The following is a 14,356-nucleotide window of genomic DNA, read 5'->3' on the forward strand; positions in this document are numbered from 1 at the left end:
ATGATTAATGGAGGTGGAAAGTGAATGCGTTGGATTATTTATTTCTCATTGATTCGGGTAACAGAATTACTCATTCAGGATTATTTGTTTCTAGATTGGTAACATGTTCATTAATATCCTCAGGGATTCATTCTTGAGGCAGTGAAAGAATAGGTGTTAACTGGGATAAGTTAACATCACCGCCCTCTCACTGACCTGCTTCCCCATATCCCTCCACAACTGAGACAGTGACACATGCCCAGTGGAAGGACACAGTGAGGGAGTTTCTACTCCCCAGAAAACAGCACAGCTTCCTGGTAGCCTTGATGCCACCTAGGGCATATACTTACCACAGTATTTTAAATTAAAGATTTGGAATTTATGCTTTTCTGGATTAACATGGGAAACTTTGAATATAAAAAATAGTGCTGCTGAAAAACCTGGGCTCGTGTAGTATAGACACAAATATCCTCAATCACTTCACTAAGCGTCGAGAGCTCCACTACCACAGCGCTGCATCATGGTCAGTCGTTAATTAGCAGTAATGCTAACATGAACCTGACACCTTAAAGACGGGTCAGTATATTCAGGATATTCTGTTTAAAAAGAAGAAGAACATTAACTTAGAAACATTCAAATGTTTACATTACATCAAATGGAGATTTAATTGTAGAGCTAATTTAATCTGTTATTCTGAACTTCATCGGTTTCTCCTTAAGTAACACTTTTTATCTTTTTAAATTTTTTTATTAAAATACACAATAATTTAAAAAAAGAGATGGGGTCTCACTGTGTTGCCCAAGCTAGTCTCAAACTCCTGAGCTCAAGTGATCCTACTGCCTTGGCCTCCCAAAGCACTGGGATTACAGGCATGAGCCACCACATCCAGCCAAGTGACACATCTTTTAACAAGTATGAAGCAATTATAGCACTTTAGTAGTAAAGCAAAATGATGTTTGCCCTTCCATCCTGTGACTGCACTATGGTTCTACCCATCGGCACTCTCCAAGGGCTGCGATCCTAACGGAATGATAGGACGTGGGGCAAACGCACACACCGGCTTTCCTTTTGCCCTGTCTTTAGTCCTGCTCCTTACTTTGTGGGCACAAGAATTACTGTTGCACAGCTCTATTTTATGAGCTTTTAGAGAAACTTTCAAGTGTAATTGTAATTATACTGAGTTAAAGGCCAGTTAAGGTATTTAAGACTTTTTGCATTGACTTTCAAACCTACCCATCCCTCAGAAGTTACGATGCACTAGAAATGTTCTATCAGGTCTAAAACGTAAACACCCATTTATTTATCCAGAATAAGCTCTCCTTCCTCGGGTTCTGGATAGTTCTGATTTTGTTGTCTTATCTCTAAGCCACACACATGAGTTCAGCTTTCTATCTGTGGTGTTTTTATCAGAAGGAAGGAATAGATACTATAGCCACTTCACAAATAAAGAGTTGAAATACAGTCAGCTTATTGGGTCCACATCTGTGGATTCAACCAACCACAGATCTAAAGTATTGGAAAGAAAATAACAAAGTTTTATTGGAACACAGCAATGCTCATTTGTTTACATATTGTCTGTTGCCACTTTCGCACTTCAGCAACAGAGTTGAAGAAATGAAACACCATATGGCCCACAAAACCAGAAATATTTATTAATACTGTCTGGCATTTTATAGAGTTTGTCAGCCCCTATTCTAGATGATGGACCATTGTCTCGGCGTAATTATTGGGCTAAATGATGTTCAGTTTGTTATAATTATTGAATCTTGAGAACTTCAGCATGACTTAGCTTATCATCTGAGTATTAGTTTGCTTTCCCCTTAAGATAAAGTTCTCTTTAGTATTTTACAATGTTACTTCTTTTCTTTCTGTAATCGTGTTCTCAGAACATTGCCTTATATACTGATTAATTTCGTTAATGGAAATTGGGCCCACATAAAACTTAGAGCTTGACATTTCGTGTTTAACTTGCATTAATATAAGTGAAACACCTAACACACACACACACATACGTGCATATTGTAATAGAATCCAGTACCACTAACAGCCCCATTGAGCGTCACATTCTGTTAAAATAAAATTTTTTTTCCTGAGCCATCAATATGTCTACGTATGTCTTGATTTTCAAAATTACTGTATTGTATTGTTTGTTAGTATTTTAAAGCCTTGTGATACTAGCCAAAAGCATTTTGATGGTGCCTCCATCTCTGATCTTTACTATTTTCAGTCAAGTTTTTATCCTTTAGATGTTCATAATTTTTCATCATTATTCTATATCCATTTTTTTCCCTCTTTTTTAGGGGAATAATGGGGCGGGGACAGGCCCTCACTGCTATATATCCATTTTTTAAACAAAAGGTTATTTGAATTTATTTAAATCTGAGTTTGTAGTGCAATGGTTGGTTTTTATTTTGTGCTACTAAAGCTGTTTTTTTGTAAATAAAGGTATATATAAGAATAGACCAAATCTGTTTAACCCATCAATCCCAAAAAGCTATTTCAATTAAAATGCCTTGATTTTTATGAATAACTTAACATTAAGGAGAAGCTATTTGCCTAGACAATGTTTTAATCATTTTTTTCATTTTAGGAAAATATAGTAAAAGTTGTATTTTTAAATTTACTTTGTTTTACTTTTTTGAGACAGAGTCTCGCTCTGTCACCCAGGCTGGAATGCAGTGGTGCGGTGTCAGCTCACTGCAACCTCCACCTCCCGGGTTCAAGCAATTCTTGTGCTTTAGCCTCCCAAATAGCTGGGATTACAGGCGCCCGCCACCACAACTGGCTAATTTTTCTATTTTTAATGGAGACAGGATTTCACCATGTTGGCCAGACTGGTCTCAAACTCCTGACCTCAAGTGATCCGCCTGCCTCGGCCTCCCAAAGTGCTGGGATTCCAGGCGTGAGCCACCACACCCGGTTACAGGTGTGAGCCACTGAGCCCGGCTTCATCTCTGATTTTTGAAAGAACAGGGGACTCAAACAAATGGATGGGACGGTGTTAAATAACTGTAACTTAATAGGGATTGTAATCAACTTATATCTGATCAGACTGGAATACCCAAGTTTTTGTATACCAGGAAACCTGCTTAAAATTCTTCTTTGGTTTCACGGAATGAGGTTTGACAGGAGATCTTTGCAAATTATTGATCGCTTCAAGAGCCTTTACTGTATATGATAGAAACACTTATTTTGATGAAGATTTAAGGTTTGTTTCTTTAATGTCATCTGTTTGGAAATAAGAACCTCAATAGATCATTGAAATCCTTAAAAATGTTACCTTTTTAAAGTTTGCTATGATATTTTTGTACATTTCAGTGTGTCTTTTTAAACTGGTAATCATCTGAGTTACTGAGATGTACTTAGGTACCTTAGAATACAGAAAGATAATGTGTAGTACGTTGTCTACCACATAGTAGACAAGTATTTGTTAAGTGAATGGTTAATGAATACATAGAAATGGAAAAATAATTGATTATTTGTGAAAGAGGTAGTTTGCTTGGGTGGAGGAATCTTGATAGTTATGCCCAGGTGGTTTACAATTCAAAGATGAAAATCAGTTATCTAGGAATTGACTACCTTATGTAGTGTCATGCTGTCAGGAATCCACAGAAATAGTTGGAGAGAAATCTTAGCGATACCAATTAAATACATACATACCTGAAAGAGCAGCGGAGGGGAAAAGGAACATGGATTGAGCACCTGCTAAGTGTGGAGGATTATGGTAGAGATGTTCACATGGGCTATCTCACCTAAGCCCCACTTGGCCCTGGGAGTGGATGTGATGACTTCACAACCAGTGAGGAAACAGAGAACAGCAGAATCCCGGAGCTAACAAGCGGCAGGGCAGGAGTTTAACTACAGTTAACCCTTGAACAACACAGGTTTGAATTGCGTAGGTCCGCTTGTATGAGGATTTTTTTCAGCCAAACACTGATCAGATTGAGGGATGTGAGACCCGCATATATGGAGGGTCAGCTTCTTTATATATGTGGGTTCAAATGGACCAAATGCAGAATTCGAGCACGTGTGGATATTGGTGTCTGCAAGGGTCCTAGAACCAGTCCCCTGCGTATACCAAGGGAATACCGTGCAGTCTGACCCTATACACACTCCTTCTGCTGCACCCCACCTCCCCCCACCACCCCACCTCATTTGGAATTTTGTAAAGTGAGTTTCACTTGCGTTGTGGGTAGAAGAGAAAGCTGAAGATGGCTTCTAGGAGTAACAACAGAAGGTAAAGAAGCAGGGACAGCCAGTCACATGCTTCCATCTTGCTGCCTGCTGTTAGCAGGTGCCTTCCTCCCTGCATTGTTCTGAATTTTTTAATTTTCTTTTTATGCAGAAAAAAATGAGGCCGAAAATTTAGAGGAAAATGAAGAGCCCTTCGTTGCCCCCTTAGGATTGAGCGTCCCGTCTGACGTGGAGTTGGTATGTGTCCTGCATGAGCACTAGTTGTCGTCATTATTATTTATCATAATTCACTCCTGCTTGTGGGAAAGCTCAATAATGATTATAGCTGCTTTTTAGGCATATAATGCTTTAAAATGGTTTGTGAGTTAATGGAGAAAAAGATCACACCCTATTTATTTTCCCCAAAGGAAAAGGGAAGAATTATAGCAAAAGAGCTAGACTGGAGCATCAGGGACTTGAGGAGTTGGGTGTGATTCAGCGGCCATGTAGTTGAATCCCCAGATTTTACTAGCTTAGAAAAACTAAATCAGGATCAGTGGCGAGTGGGCTGCTCCCCACACATAGATGTAAAAGCACTCAAGATCAAGACAGCGTTGATTTCAGTAACGTTGCTTTGTTCTGGCTTTTTAAAGTGTGATTTTTGGGGTCACTTCACGTTACATTTTCTTAGCAGTTTTCTGTGTTGTGATAGGTCCCTGTGGCATCTCCAGGCCCAGGCCACCCTTCCACTGATGAAGGGGAATTCCACCCTGGTTTTCCTCATCTGAGGGCTTTGCAACTGGTTACTGTCTGTTCAGCATTGACCTTTCCTGCTATTTCAGTTATATCACATTAAATTAAGTTATAACAGGTGTTAAAGCCCAAACCAGGATTTTTCCTTTTTTTCTGAATATTCATTGAGGGATTTCCCCATTCCAGTCACTGTGCTAAGCTGTTTTTTACATATTATCTTATTTAATGCTAACAACCCTATAAGCGAACTACTGTTTACTATCCCTCTTGTGCCAGTGAAGAAACTGAGACTTAGGAAAGTCAAGAATTTGGCTAATAAATAGCAACTGGGAACGTTGGTCTTAACTATGATGCCATCTTCAGTCACCGTGCTTTATGGGATTTTTATATGTTTACTGGGAAGGTTGAAAATCTTTTTGTTGTGTGTGTATACTTGGGAAGGACTCTTAAGTGTTCGTGCCTAGCAGGAAGTTTTTTCTTGGACATTTTCGTAACTGGATTGCAAGTGGCATCGATGCAGGCATTCTCAATTCTTGTTTGTGTCCCACATCCTGAATCACTCACTGCATGGTAGATGCCGGGAAAGCTCCGCACAGAGAGAGCATCTCTCACCTCCCACTGCGATCACTCGCTGCCACTCTAATTGAGTTCAGCGTGAATTTGATGGTTCTTACCCTTCATTAATCTGATGAAGGGCAATATAAAAATAGCCCTTTTAATTCCTGCCTCCAACGCTTTCCTTCTCTTCCCTTATTCATTTACATATCCTCTCCCTCTCTTTTATTCTTTCAAATATGGGTAAAATAACTTTTTGGATTTTGCCTAGTATAATTACTACTTGTATTGGTCTGTTCTCACACAGCTATAAAAAAATACCTGAGACTGGGTAATTTATAAAGAAGAGGTTTAATTGGCTCACGATTCTGCAGGCTGTACAGGAAGCCGGGCAGCATCTGCTTCTGGGGAGGCCTCAGGAAACTTATAGTCATGGCGGAAGGTGAGGAGGGAGCAGGCATGTCTAAGCATGTCCAGAGCAGGAGGAAGGCAGGGAGGTGCTACACACTTTCAAATGACCAGATCTTACGACAGCTCATTCACTGTCTATCACGGGAGCAGCACCGAGGAGATGGTGCGAAACTATTCATGAAGGATCCACCCCATGATTCATTCACCTCCCACCAGGCACTGCCTCCAACATTGGGAATGACAATTCTACAGGAGATTTGGCTGGGGACACAGATCCAAACTGATCCAAACTATATTACTACATATGTTTGTTTCTCCATTTCTAGTATTGATCATTTTGCTGTAGTTAAAGCTGAAATTACCCAAAGATTTGATATCCTGAGACTTGTATTAATATATTTTCCATGTATTATATATATTGTATTCCTATTTGTTCTGAAATATGTTTATTATGCATGAGAGACACATTAACATGAAGCTTTAAAAAATCACAGTTGCTCCATTTTTATTAAATGCTAAGTGCTCCATCTCTATTTAATGCTAAAAAGTTTATATGAAGTTGACTATATGGAATTTTACTTGTTTTTAGTGTTAAAAATTTTTTAATTTTTTATTCAAATTTAAATATAGAGGTACAATGGAATTGTGTTGCCTTAATTCCTATTAAAATATTTAATGGCTTTGTGTTCTCAGCCAAAATAAGCATCACTAAGCTCTTGATAGTCTGCCAGATCAAACATACTTGTCACTCATTGGAGAGCAAAGTAAGTCTTAGTGTGTAGCAACTTGCTGTCTTATCATTAGAGTTTCTTCTAATGATATTATAGAAAGGCCTCTTGAATGTTGTTTTGACTTTGTGGAAACTGAGTGCTTGATTGAGTCTCTCATTTGCGTCTTTCATTTATTTTATGGCAGTGTCAGTATTTCATTCTCATAATTATTATGTGTTTTTTGGCAGTAATTCATTGTGTAAATTATACACCGTGGTGTCCATGTTAGTGGAGAAAATGTAGAAGACAGAAGTGTCTGCATTATAAGTTGTTTTAGTGACTAGGCCTCAGAATTGTTGAATTGTGGTTAAGTAGACTATTGCTGCTTAAGGGGGCAGGACATGGTTTGACTCACTGACAAGAGAAGATTGGAGTGATTGGGAAAGACAGCAGGTACTTCAGGAGGTTCTTGGTTTTTAAACTAACTGTTGGTTTAGAACCTAATGATGACAGGATCCTTGAGGCTTTTGGATGAAGAGTAAGAAGTAGTTAGAAATTACAGCACCCCAGGCTGGGTACAGTGGCTCACACCTGTAATCCCAGCTCTTTGGGAGACTAAGGTTGGAGGATCACTTGAGGCCAGGAGTTCAAGACTAGCCTGGGCAACATAGTGAGATCCTGTCTCTACAAACAAGTAAAAATAATAGGCCAGTGTGGTGGCACGTGCCTGTAGTCCCAGACCTGTTAGGGCGCAGTTCCAAGGGAAATGTGCTTGCTCGAACACATTTTATGGAAAGTGGGGAAGGATTCGATAGTTGCTGTTGTGTGCAACGCTTATTCTGTTGATGAATAATAACATAGAACCAGCCTTTATGAAGCACTTACTGTGTACCAGACAGTGTACTAAGTGCTTCTCTAGGCATATCTCTCAGTTAATACTCAAAATAATTTTACAGGCCAGGTGCAGCGGCTCATGTCTGTGATCCCAGCACTTTGGGAGGCCGAGGTGGGAGAATCGCTTGAGCCCAGGAGTTCAAGACCAGCCTGGGCAACATGGTGAAACTCCGCCTCTACAAAAAATGAAAAAAATTAGCCAGGCGTGGTGGTACATGCCTGTAGTCTCAGCTACTCAGGAGGCCAAGGCGGGAGGATGGTTTGAGCCCTGGAGGTGGAGGTTGTAGTGAGCTAATACGGTACTGCTGCACTCCAGCCTAGACAACAGAGCCAGATCCTGTCTCAAAAAAATAAAAATACAAAAATAACTCTATGAAGCAAATACAGTTGTTGCCAGATGTTAAAGTTTAGAAAGTTAAGAGTAACTGCCCTAAGTTACATGTGTGAGGGTCAGGCCTGGGGTTCTAGCCAAGGGACCGACTCCAGAGCTCTGAACCACTAAAGTTAAGCTTTATCGAATTTGTGCAGATTAGAGCATTATTTCATCATAATTTAGGTACTGTATTGTCACAGAAGGTGGGTGGGGAGGGAAAAAATGTTGATTTATTCTTGAATTACTGTGGAGTGACTGGCCTTTTGTTCAGATTCGTAAGGACTCTTGACGTCTAATGAGCCTTAACTCTTGGTCCCCAATGTGTCTTGCAGGTATTTTCTCCCCGCACTTTGTTTTCTAAGTGATTGTACGACTCTCTGTGCAGAATTTAAGTATAGAGTGATATATGTCCCTCTATTCCTTATGGCTTCAGAATTTTAAAGCTTATTTTGGAAGGCTTCCCACCCACAAGAGTTTGAAAATATTTTCCTATATTTACTGCTGGTACTTCTGTATTTGTATTTTTGCCTTTGAATTTTGACTCAATCTGATACTTACTTAGGGCTCTGGGCAAAGCAGGTATTTGATTTTTTTTCTCCCCTAACCCCGTGAGGAGAGGGCTGGCCCCACTGCCCCTGGGGTTCCTTGCTAATTTCCCCTCTTCATGTCATGCCACCTCCTTCCTGGTCCCCCGATGGGTCTGAGCTCAAGCCTTTTCCAAAGCTCTTAGGAAACCGTGCATTTGTGTGGGTTTTCTGACCTGTAGATACCTTTCTCCTGTTTCCCATGCCTCCTCTGGAGCTTAAATTCACATTAATGGAATTTCCAGGGAAGGGGAGGAGGTGTTAGCCCCCTTCCGGGGCTCTGTCGGCTTCCTTAAACAAAAGGCTTCCCCACTGGATTTAAATTAGAAAAACAGTTTTCCTTTTCTTAGGCCATTGTAACATATGCATATTTATATGTTGACTGTATTTTTTAAATCTCATTGTGTAGTAGGAGTGATCATGATATTCTTAAATGGAAAATGATTTACCTAAAGTCTGCCTAATAAAGTAAAGAATGGCTTTTTCCAAACCAGATACTTTTTAATCTTATTCAGGGTTGGTAGCCAACCTTGAAATATGTCCGTAAGATGCTTTGTTTTTTTGTAAAATTACTTACACATTGCTTTTTAACCATGGTAATAGAAGTAGTATATAACAAATAGGCCTACTTTTAAGAAATTTTGGATCAACAAGTTGGTTTGGTCAATAAAGAAAGCCTAAACTGGGCCAGTATCATATTTTCCTTTAAGGGTCATTACTATGAAGTGATCATTAATTATTGATGTGTTTATGGAATATTCTGTTTTAACAATGAATAACCAGAGCCCCTGAAAATCCAAGTCGTGGACATGCATACAGTGGGCCTTTAACATGGAATTTAAATTATTTGGGGATTAATGAATAATTGTAGACATCTATCCTTTTTAAGTGTGAAGGATGTTATTAGTTCAAAAATTAAATTAGAGAATTAAGCCATTTATATTTTATGAAGGATGAAGCCCTGAATTCTTAACCATCCATTTTTAATGAGAATAATTGCCAGATTTATTTGCAAATAATTTCCTAGTGTTAATCTCTTTGTTGATATGAAAGGTATTTTAGATGTGTGGCTTTCAGCCTTTGGTCTAACAAGATCCATTTGTGGGCAGGAAATGCTAAGAGCATGAGGTTCGTTGAAGTGACTCCTTAGCAGCACATGAAGGGATGGGGGAGGGCTTTGATGCTGGGAAGAAACTCACCTGGAGTGTCCCATCTGCTCTGGCCAGACCACACCTAGGTGGTCTTCAGCTTGGGATACTGCTTTTAAGTGGGAATGGCAGTGAGCCAGGAACTGTGCAGGGGCTGGGGAGCAGGGCTCAGGTGCAGAAGAAAAGACATGGCGTACTCTTGTGGCTTTTGTTGGATGTCCAGAAGGGCTGTTTTGTAAGAGGGAGCCTCCAAGCTGTGAAACCTAGTCCCCGCTAAGAAGAAGGAAAGAGCAGTGATTCTGGTTATTGAGAACCATGGAATGTATACCCTCTCCCTAGAAAAGTGCTTGTTTGTAAAATTCACATGCACAGAGGATTCACAAACCCCCTGAATTCCATCATAGAGCTGAACTTAAATATATAGAAAAATGTTGACTTGGTGCACAAAGAAGTCACCTCCCATGGGTCTGTACCATGGTGGAGTGGCCTGCCTCAGCTGGCGAGCTTTCTCCCCTGCAAAATCCTGTCAAGATTTGGAGATGAGGAGTCCGAACAGCCTGGGCTCTTCCAGCTTAAAGTCTCGTATCTCTTAAAATTGACAGTAAAACCAGAGTCATTTCTATGTTTTAATGAAATCACGTGGCCGGTGGACAAGAGGACAAATGGGTGACGTGAATATGTGTGTTTTCCCGTAGCCACCAACCGCTAAAATGCACGCCATCATCGAGCGCACGGCCAGCTTCGTGTGCAGGCAGGGAGCACAGTTTGAGATCATGCTGAAGGCCAAGCAGGCCCGGAACTCCCAGTTTGACTTTCTGCGCTTCGACCACTACCTCAACCCCTACTATAAGTTCATCCAGAAAGCCATGAAAGAGGGACGCTACACTGTCCTGGCAGAAAACAAAAGTGACGAGAAAAAAAGTAGGTCCCACTGCGTCTGTTCCGTCCAGACTTTGGGCCTGTGTTGTGGGGGCGGCAGGCTGGGTGGTTCTGGGAAAAGTGTGAAGATACACATTCTTACAGATGCATGGTTGAAAGCCAGACTCGAATTTCTAGAATGTGTCTGAAATCCTGCAGCTAAGGCGTGATCGTTACCCCTGCTGGTGCACCTTTATTAAATCTTTGGTTAATATTTTATAGATAAATGAAATATAACTAAATATTGATGCTGTCAGAACATAATCATCTGGGTGGGAAATTTTTGCCCTCATTTTGCCCACTTAACATTTCATAGAGAAAACAGTTATATATCCTCTCTTGGATTATTCAAGTACCACAGTGTTCAGGGCTGTATAGCTCAATTATACATGGCCACAAAAGTGAAAATTTTACTTGGATTATCTATTTTAAGCTATTATTTTTATAACAGTGTCTCTATTTTGGAGTTCTTACTGCCAAAGCCAGTTAGCTGTATTTTGAATAAAGATGGTATTTTGACAAGTCTATTCATATATATGTATATATATACACACACACACACATCTTCCATTGAATTTTTTTTTTTTTAATTGGCGACAGAGTCTCGCTCTTGTCGCCCAGGCTGGAGTGCAATGGCGTGAGCGCGATCTTGGCTTACTGCAACCTCCGCCTCCCGGGTTCAAGCAATTCTCATGCCTCAGCCTCCCGAGTAGCTGGGATCGTGGGCACGTGCCACCACGCCCGGCTAATTTTTGTATTTTTAGTAGAGACAAGGTTTCACCATGTTGGCCAGGCTGGTCTCAAACTCCTGACCTCAGGTGATCCACCCGCCTCGGCCTCCCAGAGTGCTGGGATTACAGGCGTGAGCCACTGTGCCCGGCCCTTCCACTGAATTCTGTTCTCTTCAGCCAAAATAAGTTTCAAATCAGTTGTGTAAATCTTAATGCAGATCTCATCTTCAGTTTTGTTGTAGTTGTTTATTTCTGTTGCTATTATTTTGCTTTTCATAAATCAGTACAATTTTTGCCCTTTTTTAAAAAAAGGAAAAAAAAGGCAGAGAGAAAGAAAGCATACAGAGCCCCAGACCAGCTGGTGCTCGATGCTGGCAAGGAGTCACCAAATGGGCAAAGGTCGCAATCCTTTTTATCTGGCCTTCTTCTGGACAACTTGGGTGACTCTAGGGAGAAATTTCTAAAAGTGTTTTTTCGACAGATAACCAAGATAACTTGGCTGCTTCTAAGTTTTTGCATAATTAATTTGTACTTTTTTTCTCACCAAACACCAAAATCTTGAAATGTGATTTTGATTTCAGAATCAGGAGTCAGCTCTGACAATGAAGATGATGATGATGAAGAAGATGGGAATTACCTTCATCCCTCTCTCTTTGCCTCCAAGAAGTGTAACCGCCTTGAAGAGCTGATGAAGGTTTTTATCTCATTGTTGAACTATATTTTTATGCCACCACAAAACTTCTGCTAATGTAATTTTGGAAAATTTGAAGCATGTCATTCTTGTGTGTTACAGTTGTATCTTATTTTATCATCATTGAGGTGTATTTGCATTTTTGTTTTTAGCTGGGTGACAAAGCATCTGCTTCTTTGGTTTCTTACCTGTCTAGCTTATAAAATTCGTGAGCATTTGCTCAGGATAATTTTACCATTTTATTACAATTTTACTCCTTTGAGATATTTAGAGTTCCAAGTAGAGTGTTGGTTAAGACTTGAAAATTGTTTTGTTGTGCGGGTGTGGTGGCTTACACATGTAATCCTAGCACTTTGGGAGGCTGAGGCAGGTGGATCACCTGACATCAGGAGTTCAAGACCAGCTGGCCAGCATGGCGAAACCCTATCACTACTAAAAATACAAAAATTAGCCAGGCGTGGTGGGTACACCTGTAGTTCCAGCTACTCGGGAGGCTGAGGCACGAGAATTGCTTGAACCTAGTAAGTGGAGGTTGCAGTGAGCCAAGATCACACTACTGCACGCCAGCCTGGGAGACAGAGTGAGACTCAAAAAGAAAAAAAAATTGTTTAGTTGTGATATCATCATAGGATTGGATTTTATAGGTGATCAGAATATATGCATCTTCGAGTCCTATGTTACCATCATAGATTGTTTTTAAATAAATATTTTCACTTCTAATTCTCCCCTCATCTGTGTGAAGAAACCACTCAGCATTATCTTGTGGTTAATTCACACCACTCTGCCATTCGCGACATAAAAAACAGGAGTCTATTAGATTTAAGCATCTGGTTTTCAGCAGTTGTGCATTGTGGGTGACCTTTTGTGGGAATGATTGCTGATTGATTGGACTGGAAAAGCTATTGGTGATTAAAAATCAGAAACTCCTATAAGGAAAGACAGTTTCAAATTTTGCATGGGGTTAGACATTCACACTTTAATTGGTGTCAAACTAGTCTTAGTTGTTCGTCTGTCCTTTTCTTGGTAGTTATTTTGGAAATTGAAACCCTGTGTTCACTCAGTTCCTCTGAGACAGCCAGCTGGGGCATTTGGCCACAACTCGTTAGGACCTCCATGGGTGCGTGCATGTGTGTGTTTTTTCTAAGGCATGTACACTGAGTCCTAAAGGTGAGCCTTTTGCAGCAGAAGAGTTCTGCATGGTTCAGAATATTGAATGCTAAGGCTGTGTCTTCTCTGTTTCCAGCCCTTGAAGGTAGTGGACCCAGATCATCCCCTCGCAGCACTTGTTCGTAAGGCACAGGCTGACAGTTCCACTCCCACCCCACACAACGCAGACGGTGCGCCTGTGCAGCCCTCCCAGGTGGAGTACACGGCAGACTGTGAGTACTCACTGTGTATGTCCTGACCTGTGTTCAGCTGCCTGTGACAGAGCCAGCTACAGGGCTCTAAACCCCAAGTGTTCTGTCCTCCAAGTGTAACAAGTATGGAAGCAGGCGGCCCAGAGCCTGCACATGGTCCCAAGGGAGAGTGCCACGAGGCTGCCCTTTGCTTGGCCCAGTGTTGGCAAGATGGCTGCCCTACTCCAGCATTAGCTGTGCATTCCAGGAAGGAGGAGGACCGGCAAAGGTAGCTGGCTGCCTCTGCCCTTCTTTCTTTTTTTTTTTTTTTTGAGGCGAGGTTTCACTCTGTCACCCAGGCCAGAGTGCAGGGATGCAAGCATGGTTCACGGCAGCCTGACCTCCCAAACTCAAACGATCCTCCCACCTCGGTCTCTCTAGTAGGTGGGACTACAAGCACGATAACACTGGGCTAATTTTGATTTTTTGATAGGGATGGGGTCTCACTATGTTGCCCAGGCTGGTCTCGAGCTCCTGGGCTTAAGCAGTCCTCCCGCCTTGGCCTTCAAAAGTGCTAGGATTGCAGGTTTGAGCCACTGCTCCTGGCCCTGGCTCTGCCCTTCTTTAAATATCCACCCAAGCCATAGCTAGTGGCTTCCCTTACCTCTCAGTGGCTAGTGTCCTGTCACATGGTCTCCCCACTCAGCAGAGGCAATGGGGCCTCCGTTAAACACGTTGCTGCCCTAAACAAAGTCAAATGCTGGTAAGAACAGGGAGAATGGGAGACACATAGTATTGTCTAACACAGTTGCTTTCTTTAAAAAGGTTCACAGCAGGCCAGGCGTGGTGGCTAATGCCTATAATCCCAACACTTTGGGAGGCTGAGGTGGGAGGATCACTTACGCACAGGAGTTTGAGACCAGCCTGGACAACATACTAAAACCGCATCTTGACAAAAAATAAAAAAAAATTAGCTGGGCATGGTGGTGTGCCTGTGGTCTGAGCTACTTGGGAGGCTGAGGTGAGAGGATGGCTTAGCCCCAGGAGGTTAAGGCTGCAGTGAGCTGAGATTGCACTGCCACACTCTAGCCTGGGCGAT

At 41.4% G+C, this 14,356-nt stretch overlaps 1 protein-coding gene across 8 annotated transcripts in view, besides 2 other annotated features; it reads left to right on the forward strand.

The window, feature by feature from the left end:
* The window catches only part of SFSWAP (splicing factor SWAP), an 88,649-nt gene that overhangs the window by 4,040 nt on the left and 70,253 nt on the right, over nucleotides 1-14,356 (forward strand). For all 8 annotated transcript variants that reach the window (XM_024449125.1, XM_047429327.1, XM_047429328.1 and 5 more), the window contains 4 exons: nucleotides 4,325-4,410; nucleotides 10,276-10,501; nucleotides 11,811-11,923; nucleotides 13,164-13,299. In XM_024449125.1, the coding sequence (XP_024304893.1) occupies nucleotides 4,325-4,410; nucleotides 10,276-10,501; nucleotides 11,811-11,923; nucleotides 13,164-13,299 (561 nt within the window). The remainder of the gene's footprint in view (nucleotides 1-4,324; nucleotides 4,411-10,275; nucleotides 10,502-11,810; nucleotides 11,924-13,163; nucleotides 13,300-14,356) is intronic.
* Nucleotides 5,278-6,477: an enhancer, noted in NCBI's record as "MED14-independent group 3 enhancer chr12:132204952-132206151 (GRCh37/hg19 assembly coordinates)". NCBI's record gives its function as "activates an origin of replication core promoter dependent on BRD2, BRD4, P300/CBP and CDK7 cofactors, and independent of MED14, by STARR-seq in HCT116 cells {active_cell/tissue: HCT116}" and the evidence as "EXISTENCE:reporter gene assay evidence [ECO:0000049][PMID:35650434]".
* Nucleotides 13,599-14,163: an enhancer, noted in NCBI's record as "H3K27ac-H3K4me1 hESC enhancer chr12:132213273-132213837 (GRCh37/hg19 assembly coordinates)". NCBI's record gives its function as "activates a minimal SCP1, AML or CMV promoter by ChIP-STARR-seq in naive H9 embryonic stem cells {active_cell/tissue: H9 hESC(naive)}" and the evidence as "EXISTENCE:reporter gene assay evidence [ECO:0000049][PMID:30033119]".

The sequence above is a fragment of the Homo sapiens genome, chromosome 12 (assembly GCF_000001405.40).
Source record: "Homo sapiens chromosome 12, GRCh38.p14 Primary Assembly".
NCBI lineage: Eukaryota > Metazoa > Chordata > Mammalia > Primates > Hominidae > Homo > Homo sapiens.